Source organism: Homo sapiens, chromosome 6 (assembly GCF_000001405.40).
Source record: "Homo sapiens chromosome 6, GRCh38.p14 Primary Assembly".
In the NCBI taxonomy this organism is placed as follows: Eukaryota; Metazoa; Chordata; class Mammalia; order Primates; family Hominidae; genus Homo; species Homo sapiens.
This window is the reverse complement of record NC_000006.12, coordinates 69,355,783-69,374,264: the sequence shown is the minus strand read 5'-3', so window position 1 is coordinate 69,374,264 and position 18,482 is coordinate 69,355,783. Positions and strand designations below refer to the sequence as shown.

General features: G+C 34.7%; 1 protein-coding gene across 1 annotated transcript in view; it reads right to left on the bottom strand.

Moving 5' to 3' along the window:
- Positions 1 to 18,482, bottom strand: part of ADGRB3 (adhesion G protein-coupled receptor B3) — a 754,225-nt gene that overhangs the window by 15,242 nt on the left and 720,501 nt on the right. The window contains exons 28-30 of the mRNA NM_001704.3: positions 18,405 to 18,444; positions 12,753 to 13,396; positions 1,824 to 1,859 (exon numbers count right to left, since the gene is read on the bottom strand). Of these exons, the coding sequence (NP_001695.2) occupies positions 1,824 to 1,859; positions 12,753 to 13,396; positions 18,405 to 18,444 (720 nt within the window). The remainder of the gene's footprint in view (positions 1 to 1,823; positions 1,860 to 12,752; positions 13,397 to 18,404; positions 18,445 to 18,482) is intronic.

Sequence of the window (18,482 nt, the reverse complement as noted above, 5' to 3'; positions counted from 1 at the left end):
AAACTCAATCCACGAAATATCTGCCACATACCTGTTATAGCACATGAGACTAAGGGAAATAGCTCTAAACAATTTGTAGAGTAAAAGTAATGTCTCAAAGTTCCCACCTGCCCCACCAAATTTTGACACCTGTAGTAATCATGCAGTGATTACAGCAATTAAAGAGCTAAAGACATGTCCGGGGTTCTTGTGTTGCAATTTCTCTTATTTATCAGCAAAAGTTTTACTAACAACATGGTTTTATGGGTGGAATAATAAGCGTAGAAGTAAGTATCAGCTTAAGGAATCTGCTACCAGTTGCCATAGAGAATAGATGAAAAAAGAACAGTTTTTCTAATGCTCCAAGTGACACAGTATGATTAGATTTCTTTTCAGTGTTTGTGATTACATAACTTAGGTTGGTTTAATTGAGGCTTAATTTTAGTTCTAGGTTTTTACTATATTTTGCCGCTGATGCCTAGTGGGTTAATTCCTTCCTCCTTTCCTTTATACTAACATAACAATTTATTGCTTTTAGACATGAATATATACAGTCTGATCCTCTATTTTTGGCTACCTGAAGAATTAATATTAAAAAGCTATAAAATATCTGTTCTTCAAAGGCACTAAAAAATCTGAAGGCAAAGATTGCTGAATATTGTCTATTCAGATTTATATTCTTGATACTTTTATGCTAAAAACTTTGGATACAATTAAATATATATTCAATGCTAAGTTACTACAATGAGGCTGCATCAGTATTAAAATTTGCTATTTAATCGTAGATAAAAGATTCCTTATCATTACTTTGTATCTTGTAGTCTGAAATGTTACTGAAAAGAACCAATTATCCTTGGACTCCATTCAGGGTAAAACCATTGTTGACCATTGCAGTAAATAAAAACAAGTCTTAGTTTTGACACATGATGTACATTGTAGAGCTAGAACATTGATCTACATAAATGAAACGACTGAATTAGGAGTAGTTAGCACGTTCTGGGAGGCTTCTGTAATTTTAGGAGTATCAATTAAGAGTATTGAGTTCTATGTATGCATCACAAAGGTACAAATATACTGGAGAAATATATAATGTATTATATCCAATTATGTTAGCAGACTATGAATCATATCCAATTATCAATACACATAAGTACATTTTATGTGGTGCTTAAACGTCATTAATTTTGTATTTAGCATAACCTCCTCAGATGGTATGATTTCAGTAATTTCGAGTAAACATATTACAGCATCAATATAAATTCAATGTAAATTGGAAAATGAAAATTTTCATCTTGTTTGTATCTGTGAAAAGGCGTTTACTAAACACAGGAGCACATTGAATCAATAGTTTCTACTGAAAAAAAAAGCATCAAATGTACCGCAGAGAACCTAAATAGCAGGAATCAGAACATGAAACAAGTAATTTTCAGAGAAAGCCTAGCTAACCAGCCTAAGCATACTCACAGGATCTCTTCAGGCAGTCACTGAAGTAAAACCAAGAAAATTGCTTTAAATATAAAAATCAGGAAGCTGACATTCCCCCTCCCTACAAACTGAATCAACCAGGTTCAACTCCTAACATAAATTGTTCACTTATCGTAGTATGTATAAAACAAATTCCTCACTTGTCCAGAAAATCTCAGTTTAGCAAATACTTGAAGTAATTCAAAATTTAAAAATTTCATCCTATACAGGATAAACTTTAATTAAAAATGTTTGACTTATTTAATTAAATTAGTACATAATACCCTTACATGGCTGCATAGAGTAATAATTTTTAAGTAACTATATATCTATTTTGAATTCAAGTAATTACAATTCTAAAATAATTCATATAAACTTACCTCAAAGTCAAGGTCTGAATATCGTGATTTTCTTCTCTGTAAGATATATTTTTAAAAAGAAGGAGAAAAACCAATAAAGTTATGTTTAGTCATTCAAACAAAATGAAAAATCATCATTTTCATTAAAGATAATCCTGCTTGTTTTATACATATTTCCTTCACATAAGGAAAAATGTAAAATTTCATGAATCATGAAAAATTTTATGATTTCAAAATATTCCATTCACAATTTTCTATTTTCACTTTGAACTTCTTTTAAAATTGGAGAATATAAAAATACAGAATATTTCTCATTTTGACCTCTTAACCCTAATTTTTAGTAAGGAGAAAATGTTCCTATGAAAACTCAAACAGACATTTCAATCTTGAAAGAGACTTTAGGCTTACTACAGCAAAGCTACAGACAAACAGGATTAAAAGTTGTATAGGAAAAACTGTCTAGTTACCTCGACATCTTCAACCAACTTCTAGTTTTCCTTCCTACCAAATTCTAACCAGTCCTCTAAGTCCCAAAGTTCTTCATAAGTCTCACCCACATATTTCTTGTAATTTGATAGTCCTCCATGACAGAAAAGTCCTTCTCATTGCTAGTCCTAAGGAACTAACGTATTTGTTCTAGTTCAGCAAAACAAACTATTCCGCACCCCAGTAAAATGTAGATGTATGTGTAAATGTCTCACAGTGTTTCTCTGTGGCTCCACCTTTGTTAAACAGTTTCTGAAATCTAGTTACAGATAAAATGCATTAATAAAATAATGAGGACTGATACAACCAGAAAACAGGATTACAATGAAATTAATATATTTCATGTGATATGATTTTCATGATATTAGTATAAAGTATTCTTAGCAAACTTTTAGTACAGATTTTTTAAATTTAGAATTTTTTGATGAGAGAGGGAATGAAACAGGGAGAATTAACAAACAATTAAAGCATGTAATATTCAGGCAGTTGGAAAAATATACAAACCTTTGGGCAAAATTTTGTTTTATTTTTCCCGTGCTCCCATCCCAACACCTACAAACTTCAATAATTTAATAGGAAATCATACCCAAGATAGGTAGCAGACTCTAGTCTGCATTTTAACTCTTGAACATTAGGAGAGACAGAAAAGAAGCACTAATGTAGTTTCTTGAAAACTATGATTAAATTTCTGCAGCTACAGTTAAAATTGTCATTACAGAATCAGAACCTCACTGTATACCTAATCCCCAAACCACGTTTCAGTAGACAGAAGGGGACATGCCGAAAGAAAGGTTTCATGTTTTAAGTGAAAAATTCCTGAAATAATTTTATTTTAGTGAAGCTGCTTAAGACTGAAAATGCAGTCTTCAAGTACAATCAAGGAGAGGGCTGAAAGGAGACTGCTTTATTAAATAAAAACTCAGCAGGTTGATCTCACTTTCTTCTTGTCTCCAACAGCACCTCAGCCTCGCCGTGGTGACATCCAGGCATTGAGCCCAGCCCTCTTTTGCCATCTCCCCGCCACTATTGTTATCTAACTGTGCTGTGTAAAAACCAGGCTCCAGTGTACTGCACCACACTTTGCTGCAATATGCTAGACTAAATGTCAGGGCTTCCATTCTGCTCTTGGATACCTTTCTTGGCACTGTGACTAAGCAGGACATTTTTGTCAGTATACATTAAGCAAGATTCTTTCTTAATACAGCAAAATTCAAGGCTGGAAACAGTTTTAAGCAATAATTATAAAACATTAGTCATGAGCTTTGCATTTTATTTGAAAATTAAATAGTGACATTTTGTGAAAAAGATTTAGAAGCAAGAGCAAAAGACAGGAACCTAGATCACCAGAGATAGATTCTGTTTCTGAGAGCAGGTATGTCAATGTGAAATATGGAAGGAAAATGGATACACTCATACAAGTAGATCTCATTCCTATTTAATTTTATTAAAATTAAATTCTAACATAAGGCATAGCAGAACTGGCAGTCTTGAAGGATTAGACTAAGGAATGAACAAATCAAACAAACAGATTTTAATCAAAAGAACCTAAAGATGGTGGTGGGATTTGGAGTGGATGCAAAATAAAGCAGTAAAGCCTTAAAAATTAGAGAGTGGGAAAAAATGACAGATTTTTACAGTCCAAGTGAGTTAAAAATGTGTGTAAAGTTATTCAGGTTTCCACAATACTGACCAAGTGTTTCAACCTTTTATTGTTTATATAGCACTTTCACATTTGCACATGCTACCCACCAGTGGGATGGTCGGATAAAATATTATTTATTTTCCTTATTTTATGAATAAGAAAAATTGAGGGTCAGTGGAGTTAAAATTACTTGCCCACTTCACCTGTGTGGTAAGCAAATGAGTTGGGATTCAAACTCAGGACTTCTGACTACAAGCGCAGCATTTCATTTACTATCTCTTGCTGTCTTCTCAGTAATACAGGAGTGATATGTTACAGTAAAAATGCCTGTGATGTTTTGCTAATTGTTACCAGACTCAGCAAAAATAACAATAGATGAGCCAGTCAGTCCAAGTCTGACTTTCTAAGCATAAAGCAAGGTCAAGCAGGTTAACTTTTACTTGTCAATTGCATTTTGAAGGAGAAAAAAAACCTAGCAATTTGATATTTACATATTTGAGAAAATATCTGTGTTGAGTAAAATAACTTAGAAATCATTCTAATGTGCAATCATTTATAAGCAATGATACAATAACAAACAGTAGGAGACTTCTCCACCTCCAGACATGACTCGCTCTCTCTTTTTTTTTTTTTTTTTTTGAAATGGTCTTGCTCTGTCACCCAGGCCGGGGTTCAGTGGCATGATCACAGCTCACTGCAGCCTCAACATTCAGGGCTCAAGTGATCCTTCCACCTCAGCCCTCCTAGTAGCTGGGGCTATAGACATGTGCCACAACACCTGGTTAAGTTTTGCATTTTTTGTAGAGATAAGATTTTGTCATGTTGCCTAGAATGATCTTGAACTCCTGGGCTCAAGCGATCCACCTGCTTCAGCCTCTCAAAGTGCTGAGATTACAGGCGTGAGGCTCCACCCCAGCCTTAGTTTATCTTAAAGGGGCATGGGGCATTGGGAAATTGATGGTGTAAAGAAAGAATAAGAACATTCAATTCTGTTCAGTTTTGGTCTGTTTCCACCGTTGGTATACATACAGTGTATTGGAAAGTCTTTCAAAGTATTGAAGTTTATTGAAACCCTAACTGACTTGCATGTTTATTCAAATGTCTTTCTGAGCTCTCTAAAATATTAATTCCAGAGAAGAAAGTGATTGGAAATTGTTATGTATGTTTTAAATTAAGAACCAACTGAGAAAAGTGGTCAAGCCATAACAATTTTTCTGATAATCTGATAACTTTTAAAAATGCTACATGTAAATTTAATATAAGCCAGGGATAGGTGATATTGAAATATTTAATGAAGATACAAATCCCTCTGTACATATATTCCAATTTTGCAAATAACCTAACGTAAATAATCCTTTTTCTCAAAGTAGGTAATGGAAACCTTCTATGCTCTTTCCTCTTCCTAATTTCTATGCTGTTTCCTCTTCTTAATTTCCCACTTAGAACTCATCTCAACTTGTATTCTATTCTCAATACTCCATTAAAATTCCTCTTGCTGACAGTCTCTGATGAGCTCCATCTGGTCAAATTCCAAGGTCAATTTTCTGTCCATCTTATTGGACACTCAGAAGCTTTTGAAAGTTAATAATTTTCTCATGAAAACACTCATCAGCTCTCAGTCTTCTTATTTTTCCCCCTCTTTCTTGCTGCAGCTTATGCTGAAGTCCCCTTTGTTGGCTCTCTCATATCCCTGCCTTCTAAATGTTGAGTTCCTGGGCTCTCTTCTTTCTCTTATTCTCTTCTGGATACCATAATTCATTCCCATGATTTTGAATACCATCTTTTAAGTTCCAAACATCTTTTATTCCTCCTGCCTTTCCCATGATAGAAAATGCTGGATTTCTAATTGGTCAAGCGAGAGACTCAGGAGTCACCCTTCCTTCCTTTCTGTCCCTCGTTTTCCACATTCAATCCACCAGCATGTGCCATCTGTTCTATCTCTGAAATACGTCTTGTTCTGCCCACTGTTTTCTATCTCCACTTTCACCTGCACAGTCAAAGCAACTGTTATCTCTTGTCTGGATTACTTCAGCAGCTTTCTGACTGTTATCCAACTTTCTGTTCTATCTCCTCTCCTAAAACCTCTGGCTTCTAATCCTTTGCTTTCTGAACAACCAAAGTTATGGATGAATGGACGGATGGATAGTTGAATCGATGGAAAAATCATTGTGACAATCTTTTTTTTTAATATTATACTTTAAGTTTTAGGGTACATGTGCACATTGTGCAGGTTAGTTACATATGTATACATGTGCCATGCTGGTGCGCTGCACCCATTAACTCGTCATCTAGCATTAGGTATATCTCCCAATGCTGTCCCTCCCCCCTCCCCCCACCCCACCACAGTCCCCAGAGTGTGATATTCCCCTTCCTGTGTCCATGTGATCTCATTGTTCAATTCCTACCTATGAGTGAGAATATGCGGTGTTTGGTTTTTTGTTCTTGCGATAGTTTACGGAGAATGATGCTTTCCAATTTCATCCATGTCCCTACAAAGGACATGAATTCATCATTTTTTATGGCCTCATAGTATTCCATGGTGTATATGTGCCACATTTTCTTAATCCAGTCTATCATTGTTGGACATTTGGGTTGGTTCCAAGTCTTTGCTATTGTGAATAATGCCGCAATAAACATACGTGTGCATGTGTCATGAACAGACACTTCTCAAAAGAAGACATTTATGCAGCCAAAAAACACATGAAAAAATGCTCATCATCACTGGCCATCAGAGAAATGCAAATCAAAACCACAATCACATACCATCTCACACCAGTTAGAATGGCAATCATTAAAAAGTCAGGAAACAACAGGTGCTGGAGAGGATGTGGAGAAATAGGAACACTTTTACACTGTTGGTGGGACTGTAAACTAGTTCAACCATTGTGGAAGTCAGTGTGGCGATTCCTCAGGGATCTAGAACTAGAAATACCATTTGACCCAGCCATCCCATTACCGGATATATACCCAAAGAACTCTAAATCATGCTGCTATAAAGACACATTGTGACAATCTTTTGCTTAACAGTCCTCATTTGCTTCCATTGCTTTACAAGACTCTGCAAAGTCTGGTCTCTCCTTTGCATTTTAACTTCATCTTAAGGAGTTCAACATTAGCTACACAGGTATTGTGATCTTATGAGAATATGCCAAAACTCTTTTCTACCTCAGGATCACTGCACTTACAGTTTCTTTTGCCTGAAAAATTCCCTCAGCTCCTTGCAAGCCACATTACTTCTCAATTTTATTTCTTACAATAAATGACACTTTCAGATGCTTCCCAGACCACCTTATCTAGAGAAATCTCTCCCTTTCATTCCATAGTTATTACCCATTACTGCACACTATTTCATTCATTGGTTTAATGGTTGTCTGTCTCTGCCATAGGGTGTATTCTCCACAGGGGCAAGATCCATTTCTATCTTGATTACATTTAGATCCGCAGCATCTAGCAGAGGGCATGGCACAATAGGAGACATTCACAAAATTATTGGTAAATGATTAAAAGAGCTGCACGACAACAGCCAAAAGTGTTCAAAAGAATGTGACTTTTTATTTTTGTTTTGTTGTTGCTGCTTTGCTTGGGCATACTCTGAGAGAATTTGTTTAAGCAGGTAGACTAAACACACAACGAAAACCATTATGAACAGGTCAACTGACAGCTAAGAGAATCAAGACAATTTGCAGGAAGGAAGGCCTATCACTAATAGAAAGGAGAAATTCTTTACGATGATTTAAAAGTGAGAAAATGTACAACAGTATGAAGCTACTCAAAGGAATACTTAGTGAATGTATGCATAGAGGCATTTCTCCACATCTAAGTCTTGTAGAATGATGAATAATTTCTCAAAGGGAATACTTCATTATTTTCGTCACTGCAAATTAAGCTGGACAAGATACTAGAAGATTCACAGCAAGTAATAAATTCCACTGACTAATGAATGGCAATATGCCATTAAAATTTCTATTACAAAGTGACCAATAAACCTACTTGCAAGGAGAAAGTTCTGGTAGCAAATCCACTAAAAATAGCTGCAGAAATGATACCTGAGAATAATTAATTTTTAAAAATGACTTTTATTCAAGCTAATTTTGTTGTACGCCTGCAAGAGAGACAAAATTCTGTAATCCAGGAGTAAAAGCAAAACAGTAAAAAAGGGCAAGTTTTCCTTTCATCAGACTTACATGAGAAAAAAAATGTAAAAGAGAAAAAAATGTAAAAAAGAAAAAGTTGTTTCTGCACATGGTCAATTTTATAATGGTTTCTGTTAGTGACAGAGTGCCCCAGTTCCTGAGTGAGGCCATAACATTTTTTCTAATATTGTGAATATCGATTTAACTCAGCATTCAAATTTCTTTGCAGAAATTCAGGGCATTACAGTAATGACATAATAATAACATAATCTTACATCTAAAGTGCTTCTTACAATTTCAAAGGTTTTTCATGTACATTATCTAATTTGATCCTCACAACAGCTGTAAGGGAGGCACCTGTAATGTGATATTATTGCTAAAATATTTTACCTTTAAAAACCATTATGCTGAGAGCTCTATAATTCATGTCCAGAGAAAAACTGGTGTATAAAAATTTAGCCTAGAATGGTGTCCTTTCTGGCCATTACAAATTGAGAGAGACTTATTTGGTTTCAGACATATAGGTAAGCTTATACACAAATAGACAAGCTAAAACAACAAAATCTTCTATTTTGGGTAAGCATTTTGTAATGTACTATCTAACTGTTATCAGTTATTAAGTTTTTTATTGATAAGAAAAATTAAGGCAAGAACAACAGAAACCACTTAAGGTGTTTACATTTCAGCAAGATGGTCCACAAAAATTCAAATGATAGAAGAACTGAGATGCCACATAGGGGACCATGTAGTAACCCAGGGATTCGCAGAAGAGGTCAGTGTACCTCCTAGGCTGGACAGATACAAAGAGAGGGCAGAGTGATTTAAGCCCAGAGGTTGCAGCACCTGGCATATACTGGAAGCACTGTGGGAACTACACCAGACATACAAGGTGCTTCCAAAAGCAGAAAGAGTAAGGGAGAAAGATCCCAGGTTTCCCTCTTTTCCTCAACCTCTACTCTCTCACCAGTGCTTCCTGTTGGTAGAACCCAGCCAAAAGCCAGTGACTCAAGAACCTAAATTAACCTTGAATGATACAGGGAAAAGAGTGAAGAATGGACCATGTGCTAAACATGTCCAAGATGTGCACATAAGTTGGAAAGACTCTTGAGTGAAAAAATGCTTACTATTTAAATCTAACTTCTACAACCTGCTAAAGTAAATACCAGAGTTTCAATGATTCAGAACAAACACTGACCTGTCTCTCTACAATGTTACAACTATAATTTTTCAGGAAATAAATAAAGAACAATCCAAGGTTTAAATTAGATTTTATAGTCCTCAAGTGCTTGAGAACCATGATATCTCTTTTGTCCCCTCTTGCTCAAAAGCAAAATCTTAGTATGTTTTTTGTTGTTGCTGTTGTTTTGCTCTATGTATACACCATGCACTCATCACATTTTGTTCATTAATTGAAGGTAAATGACTAAAGTGCTGACAACAATATCATTCTTCTTAACCTTAAGCAAAGCAGTTACAGGATATTTAGGGCTGGAGCCATTGTTGTGAAAAATCTTAGTATATTAGTATTGCAATTGTTCCATAATAGTGGCAGCTCTGTATCTAAAGTTTTCAGAATTGCTTAACAAGTTCATTTGGGAATGACTACAGTTAGAAAGAGAACATATCACCAGAAGGAAAGAAACAAGGTACTATTAGGCTCAGAGAAAATCTAGATATGTTTTTATGCCAAGAAACTTCATGAATTTATTGAACTTTTTATATCCAATAATTGGTGGTTAGCTGAACAAACTCCCATGAAGGCTGGAAGCTGTTGTGCTGGCACTGACTTCGGGGTTGGGGAGCCTCCTTCTTTCTTTGTTGCTTCTTGCTTATTTGAATAAATACTTCCACCCACTCACCCTCTGCACTCTTTTTGGCTTTCTTTTTTCCTCCCTCAACTCTCGTTTTTCCTCTTTTCCACTTTCTATCAAATTCTATTCTACAACTGGCAGTGTTTACCTTCTTCTGTTTTTTCCTTCAGCACTTTCCATGCTGGCAGTTTGTGAAAACTGACTCCTCTGGAGGTAAAATGTGAGCGTCTTTATATTATATCCTTGAAAGTATCCTGAGGATCTTGGCCATCCTCTGCTGTGCCAGCTGCCCAGGCTGGATGTTCTCTATGGCTTTAATCTTCCTTCTTACTTACAGGGAGAAAAGACTTAAATTGTCCTATTGCTTAGGCCTCATGTGATCCACATTATTTACCATTTTCACCTTAACATTATCTTCTAAGACTCAAAACACCTCCTGACTACTGTTAATCCCACTCTCTATGTAGATACTCAGGTCATTTTTCTGCTTTTCCTTTATTATTGTCAGAATAGCATCTCCCTCACCAGTTGACCCTGCATACGCAATCTAGCAGAGCTGATAATTCTACTTGACAATGCATCATGCTGCCCGAGAAGAAAGCCAGACCAAAAACTTTATCTTCATGAACACAGCCCCATTTCCAAAATGTGTTAGTTGTACACACTTAAAGGACAAGGGCTTTACCCATTTCATGTCTTTATTAATCATAAGACCAAATGCCTATCAAGGATTAGAAAGAACTTTAAAGTTACCTTCATGCTAATATTCAGGCTCATTACTGTCTCTTCTAGATGGCATAAAATTGATCAGGACAGAAAGATTCTATTCCTAGATTTGCTATGCACTTGCTCTATAACCTTGAACAAATGACTCTAGTTTGAGGATTATAACAACTTATCCCTTGCATGGAGGTGTTGTGAAGATTAATTCCTGTTTTTAAAGTGATTTGAGGATCTGCTAATGAAAGATGCTATATAAATGCTAATTTTTATTATTCATTCCCACATCTATATATTCTCTTTCTGCTATCTCATAAAATAGTCACCCTAAGCAATTACTATTAAATTCATTTAAAGAATGAAAATGAAGAACCAAATTTTCATTCTGAATTCCAAATTTCCTTCCTTTTCAAGATGTAAGTCTTGTGATCTCTAAGTCATTTAAATGCAGGTCTTTTGGCTGAATCACAGTTATATATAATACACTTAATAATAAGGATACGGAAATTTGGAAAAATTACAAACTGAAGAAAGAAGTTCTTGGAAATACAGTCTATTGTTCAAGCACAGATAACCTGTACAATATCAATCCAGCAAAATTTTCAGGCTTTTAGATGTAAAACATTTTTGTAACAACCAAAATATTTTCATGCAGTTCCATTCAACCCCCTTTAACACATTTAAAAGAGCCACACTATACAGAAAACTTCCATATAGTCATTATGATTACTTATAATGTTATGTTATTATATGCACACTTACTGAAAATCCTTTTAAAAACTTCTGTGATTTTTGCATAAATATTTTGTAGTTTGTTCTTATGTGGTCATTATTACAAACCTGGAAGTCTCTGGGATATGCAAGTTACAAATAAAGAAACTGCAGCTATTCTGCTAATTCAGGAGGATGAAATACTTTTGTTCAGAAGGGAGCTTCAGTCACCCTGGAGTTGAACTTGGCTTCTAATGAAGCCCTATCTATGCCTTTGGTTCTGAAGAATGATTCTGACCTAGTTATCCTCAGAAGCCTTACTCAGTTTGAGGGTGATCCAGAACTTAGGGACTTATCTTAGATTCTATTCACATTACCATTTATTGTCTAGAATTTTCTCAATCAATTGGGAAAACCCTGAAAATTACCTTATTCATCGCATTTTTTAAGACTCTCAGAATGCCTCTTCATTTTGACCTAGTGGAAGGAATGGCTTTGGGGAGAAGCATGAAACAATTGCCTCTGGGAACTTTTGGACACTTGAACATACAATTATCAGCATAACTGGGTTGGAAAGGGCAGGCAACTAATTATAGTGCCTTTCTGTAGATAGTGTTTTATGTAATAATCTATTATACTAAAACAAGTGGCAATCATATAAAAGTATGCATGTATTGCATCGTATATGAATATATATGTCAACCACAGGTTTACAGCTATTTTTCACTGTATAAGCAGTGACGAGTTTACTCTTTGCTTTTGGTGGCCTTATGAAAACAAAAAGGCCATGTGGTTGGACCTCAGAATCCTGTTAGTATGCTCAGATTACATTCTTCCTGACAATTCACAGTCTAAGATGCAAAATTTTAATGGTCATTATTCTGTAAGTTAAGAGCAAAATATTTACTCTGAATAATATTGATCTACTGTAATAATAATTAGTTTTTCATCAGTATAATGGTAAAACATTTAGAGAAATATTCCAATTTTGTAATTTTTAACAGTTGCTGTTACACAGAAAGTGCAGATCTCAGTTTAAGTTTGTAATGCCACGTAGACACTGTGCACCAAAAGGACCTGTGGTACCTGAGAAACATCAGAAGAATCCTGTTATTTATTTATTTATTTATTTTATTTTATTTTTTATGAGTGCCTTAGTTCCCATGATGACAGAATTATGACTGATTAGTATCTTTTTAAATATAATGGGTTCCTTTTCAAATATTATCTTGAATAAGGGGATGATAATACACTACTGAGAAAACCCTACATTGAGACTGAATCTCAATAGCCAGAAATTTTCATGATACAAAACTGCAAAAGCTAATGTGAATCTTCTCTTCCCACACCAGTGTCACATCAATCAATCAACCAATCAATCAATATCTCTATTTATATCTATTCATATTTCAACTATCAAGGAAAAATTTAATCTTCTGTGGCTCACCTCTAAAGAACTCATTGATATCGTTGATCCAGTTTCACTTCTTGATAGTCCTGCATTATCATCCAACTCAGAGGCCATGAAATTCTTCACAGCTGTGCGAGGTTCAAAGGGCAAATTCTGCATATGTTCCTGGGGTGCGAGATGTTGCTCTAAGTTCATATTGAACTGGTCCATTACAGGGGGATTCATATTGAATTCAGGGTTTACTTTGTAGTGCAATAGCCTTTCATGCGGCAAGGTTTCCATGCCAATATTCATTTTGCTTTCTTCTTTCATTGAAGGCTGGTTATTTACAGAACTTCTGGGCATCACAATATAGTCACTTTCCATCATTCTTTCTTGAGGATGGACTATGTCCATGTCAGCCCCTCTCAAATTATCATCCGTACATAAGTACACAGTTCTCCGCAATTCACTATTTTCTTTTTTCAAACATGGATTGCTAAGCTCATTCATACTCATGGGCATGTGCAAACCTGTGGGTTGCTGGATGATGACTTTGGAAATGACATTTCCAGGCAATGTTGAATAGCTTAGCCCTTCAGGGTTTGTTCCCTTTTCTTCTTCATCATCATTTAGAGAAATCCTAGAAAGTGTTCCTGTTATTGTGGCTGCTCGGCAAGGACCAATATCCTTATGAAGAACTGTGAGTAGGAATGTAAAGTTGAAGAAAGAGAGTTAATGTGTGTTTATTTTTCATTATTATATTATGTTGTCTCGCTTTCTACTAAACATTAAAGATATATTATTTGGTAGGTATGTTATTTAAAAAAAATACATATCAATTTGTTTGTACATGGTCCAGAGAGATTACTCAATCACTTTTCATTGATTCTGTTATGCTCTCATAGATCTCAGGTAGCCCATAGCTAAAGCAAATCTGAAAGTTGATTAATGGGCTTTCAAAAATCTTAGTACCCTGTCCTTAAACAACTCCATATAACTTTTCAGGGAAATAGGAGATTACCAGAGAAGTTTTCTCCATCAATGTGCTCCAAAGGATTTTTGTAAAATTATGAACATATTCATACAAATTTGATTTTTTTCTTAATGGCTTTCCCTCCAATGTGTTCTAGAAGTTACGCTCATTAAAATGCTTCTTGAAGGGATAATTAATGGGAACTTCATCCTACTGGATCAGAAATCCCTCCAAAAATTATGCATATTGAAAATTAATGAGGATTTTTTCACTGAAGTCCATATGGTCAAGGTGGATACAATATTCAAAAGTATTTATCATATTCAGTTTTATATGGAAGAAAGAAAATTTAAAAAATTAATCTATAAGCTGGAATGCCCTTGCGGGAATATTAAAATTGCCAGCTGAGTTTAAGAAAAAAACACTTTATGAACCTCCAAAATCTTTGTTCCACTTTAAGCCTAAGAATAATGATTTAGGGAAAAAAATCTATGATAACTTGTAGTATGAAAGGGAACAAAACAAAAATGCAAACCAAACCAAACAAAAACAATCAACAAAAGAGTAAATAATTCTTTATTAAAATATATTTTAGTTTTTTTTTCTCTTTTTGCCTCTGTATAAAAAGAAAGCCATGTTTTGGGGATAATAGGGCAGAATAACACAAAGCATGCTTAGTTATGAACAATCATCAGTTTTGAGGATACAAATGAATAAAATTCTGAAGACTTATTTTTGTAACTTTGGAATTGAAAGCACACAGAATAGCGCTGTGCGAAGTTGGTTCAACATGCACATCTGGTGCTAACCTACCTACGAAGTAGAGCAATCATCATTTAAAATTTCATTAGGCATAGATGACTGTAAAAGTCTGGTTTATTGTCTCCTCATAAAAAGTTTCAGATATACTGATTTTTTTCCATTATTATCCAATTTTCAAGTAGAATCATAATTATTATTCATTAAAGCAGAAGTTGAAAAAGATTATGTCTTTCCCTGTTACATAGAAACAAGACTTTAAAATTATTTCAAAACATGAATCATTCATGTAATATCTGTTATCTTGAAAGATATTATATCTAGTTATTGTATTATTGTCTCTTTATCTTAGGCAGTAAAAATCATGTTAAATTTACATCTTTTTTTTAAGATTAACAATTTTGCTGTGCCTTTTTATGTAATTAAGTGTTATACATAATAAAAAGTAGAATAATTCAGTTTTAAAAAGTTATTTCCAAAAGTCTTAATATAATAGATCAATAATGAGTTGTAATTTCCAGGAGTAATGATACATGACATAGTAAGGGGCAAAGTATGCTAAATTTAATGATATTGTAATGATTTAATGATATTGTAAATAAATACTTAAAAAAAATCTCCAAATTCAGTAAGGAACACTTTTAACCCTTAATTGTATATAAAAATAATTCCAAAATTTATAGCAGTAAAATATATGGGAACCTATTTTGTTTCATTAAAATATATAGATAAGTTTAATCTTTTATTAAAAAACTATAAAGGAAGTATTGGTACTGTGTATTGACTCTATAATTTAAATTCGTACAAGATACATTAAGTTTTGCACAAATGTAATATGATTTATAATTATAGCCAACACATTTCAATCAAGTGATATAGTTGTGTTTGCTGAAAAAAAATATATATATATATACGTGTGTGTGTAAAGAAAGATAATTCTTCTTTTGCAGTAGTGGCTGCTCTATACGAGAGAAATGCCTGCCTCTTAGACTTACTTAAAATGTATATCCAAGTTTTGAATATACAGCATAAACAAATCATACCACCTACACACGAAAACATGATGTTAAAGTGATGGGACTTTCGAGAGAAACTAATCAAGTAGTGAAACACAAACTTCAAACAAAATATAAAGCAACTGAATATTTGGCATGATCAGATGGAAATGCTGCCATTTAGGGAAGTGAATTTCACCTCAGTATAAAGAAAGATTATTCAGAGTTCATGAATACGCTTCAACATAGACAGACAACTCTAGATAAACTCAGAAGAAAGATCCTAATGGGCTCAACTGAAAAGGGCACCAATAACAAATGAAAACATTAGAAAAATTATTTTCTAATAAAATAATGGCACTGGCCTGTATTAGGGATGCTAAATCCCAGCATACAATGAGGCCCGGGAAAAATCTGTAATTTAATGAAGGAGAACAAGATAAATACTGCAGAGATGAGATCACAGCTTGAGGAGGATGGTCTAATACAGTGGTACTCAAATTTTAGCATGCATCAAAATTATCTGGATGGCTTATAACTAGTTCCTATACCCCAACCTCCAGTTTCAGACCCCAAAGGCCTGGGTTAGGGCCTCAAAATATGCATTTCTAATAAGTTCTCAGGTGATGATAACACTGATGGTCTAGGGACCACTCTTTGACAACCACTGGTTTAATGTTACAGCTGTTAGAGGAAAGACAAACCTGTCTGCTCTTATATTGCTTCTCTGTCAAGGAGAACTGTAATGAGTACACCAAATGAGGCTGAAAAAAACAACACTGAAGGTGGAAGATTAGGAATTAAATGAATACTTATTCATTGTAAATAAATTCAAGCTTCTAAACCCGGACAAATCACATTCCATCTTGGAACATAGATGTGGAAATTGGCACCATGGCTAGTGATTTTTGAGAAATTATGGCAGGTGGATGGAGCACAGTGACAATATTATATCAATTATCCAAAAAAGGAAAACGATCAATTCTGGAAACCAAGCACTAGTGAGACTGCATCCTGACAACATTTTGTTAGGTTTTCAACAGGAGATAGTGATTTCTAATGCCCAGTGCAGGTCCACTACAGGTTGCCAAATCATGATAGTTACCTTACTGTTTTGCTATGACCATACTCTACATAGAGTATTTAGATTAAATCCAGGAATGAGAATATGAGATTAGTTTCTCATATTCTTGTGATCATGACAGGACCTGAGATTCTGTACAGATGTTTAATGGTTTTGAGTTGAATCTGAAAGCTCCATGTAGAGGAGGTCTGCTGGCAGTAAGGGGGTGCCTTACTGAATATAGCAGGTTTCTCTACTAGGTTTCATGCCATTCAACTCTTTTAACTACAGTTTGAATAAAGACTTAGAAGGTAGTCTTATAAAACTTTTAGTCACCAAACAATGGAAATGGATAGTATGCTAACCTGAAATTGGTAAAATAATAGCAAATAGACATAACTGCAAAGGACAAATTTCTTTTTCAAGGAAAACATACCAAAAACAAAACCTTTACAAATAAGACTGGGGATGCCCTGACAACTTCTACAAAAAGTTTTAGGAATTTCAGGTAAGTTGACACTAGTACTGAAATAGAAATCATATGCAAATCATTAATACAAGTAAAGAGCCCACTGTGATAAATGCTGGGTGAACATGTATATATTTGAGCACGATAATTTAAAATTATTGATAAATCGGAGGCTACCTTGGGCATCGTGCCTCAGAGAATGCTACAAGAAATGAAGGATGAAACAAGGCTTGTTTAATCTGAAGAAAAAAATACTTGGATTGGGCTAAATGATAATTGCTTTAAGATAGTTGGATATTTAGATGAAGTAGATATTCACTGTTGTTTTGAAAGGCAGCACCAAGATCAACAAATAAAAGGTAAAATGAGGCATATTCTGTTCCTACAAAGGACCATATTCCAACAATTGGAACTATCCCCCAAAATTGAACATATAGTTTCCTTTAAAACTATTGAGCCATCTACTCTGGTGAGAATTTAGCCACAGGCTGGGAGATTATGGCATACAACCCTCTAAACAGGACGTGCTGCAGAGCTTCTCTTCACCCTTTGTAAAATTAAAACCACAACAACCTTAATACACATACAGACAATGCAATTCCATCTTTACAATAACCCATATTCCGTACTTGATAAAATAGAGGCACAGAAAGGTTAAATTGACTGGCCTTACACCCAACAACCATTACTTGGTGGAATGGAAATCTTATGTCTCCATGTGAAAGTTTTTCTGCTGTCATGGTGTTTCCAATGAACCATTCTTAGTTTTTCTCTCATTTCTCTTGTTCTCTCTCTCTTTTTCTCTCTCTCTCTCCTTCTTCCTCCACAAACACACTTCCATTATTACAGTCCTTCCATTTTAAGAATTCTATTTTGTCATACACATAAATATGGAGACAGTGACTCCATCTTGAATGCTAATCCACCATTTTGATTTCTCAATAACCCCAGTCCTATGAATGCCTCCTGATTCTTACTTTATTTAGTGTGCTTAATGTAAGAACATGTACTCATTACAAATTCTGCCTGTAGATCAAAGCAACCTTGATGTTATTGTACAAATCATAGGCTATGAGGCACATAGCACTCTTGCCCATTCTGGAGGGTTGCCTTTAATTGTCTATACAGCATGTTTCCCCTTTCCCTATGGTATATAAACCCTGTGTCTGAAGAGTAACTGTGTGGGGATCTATCTGTCTTGCTGCTGCCCAAGACTACACTCCTGTCTGTAAGTTCCCTAATATCCTACCTTTTACCAACAACTGGATTTTTCTGCCTCGTTCTTTGGTTTCTCAGCTCCTTTGGCATTTGGGGGCTGCTTTACATATACAGCCCTTTCACAGAACAATATGTAATGTGTAAACCACAGCATTTTCTTTAAAATTAAAATCTATAGAAATGATTGAACATCCCTACTGATTAGATTTCAAAATCTAAATATTCTTACCTGATCGACAGGCAATGTCTACATCCTTTTCAAAGTCTGTCTGTAACAATAAATAATAAGACATAGAACCATCATTTA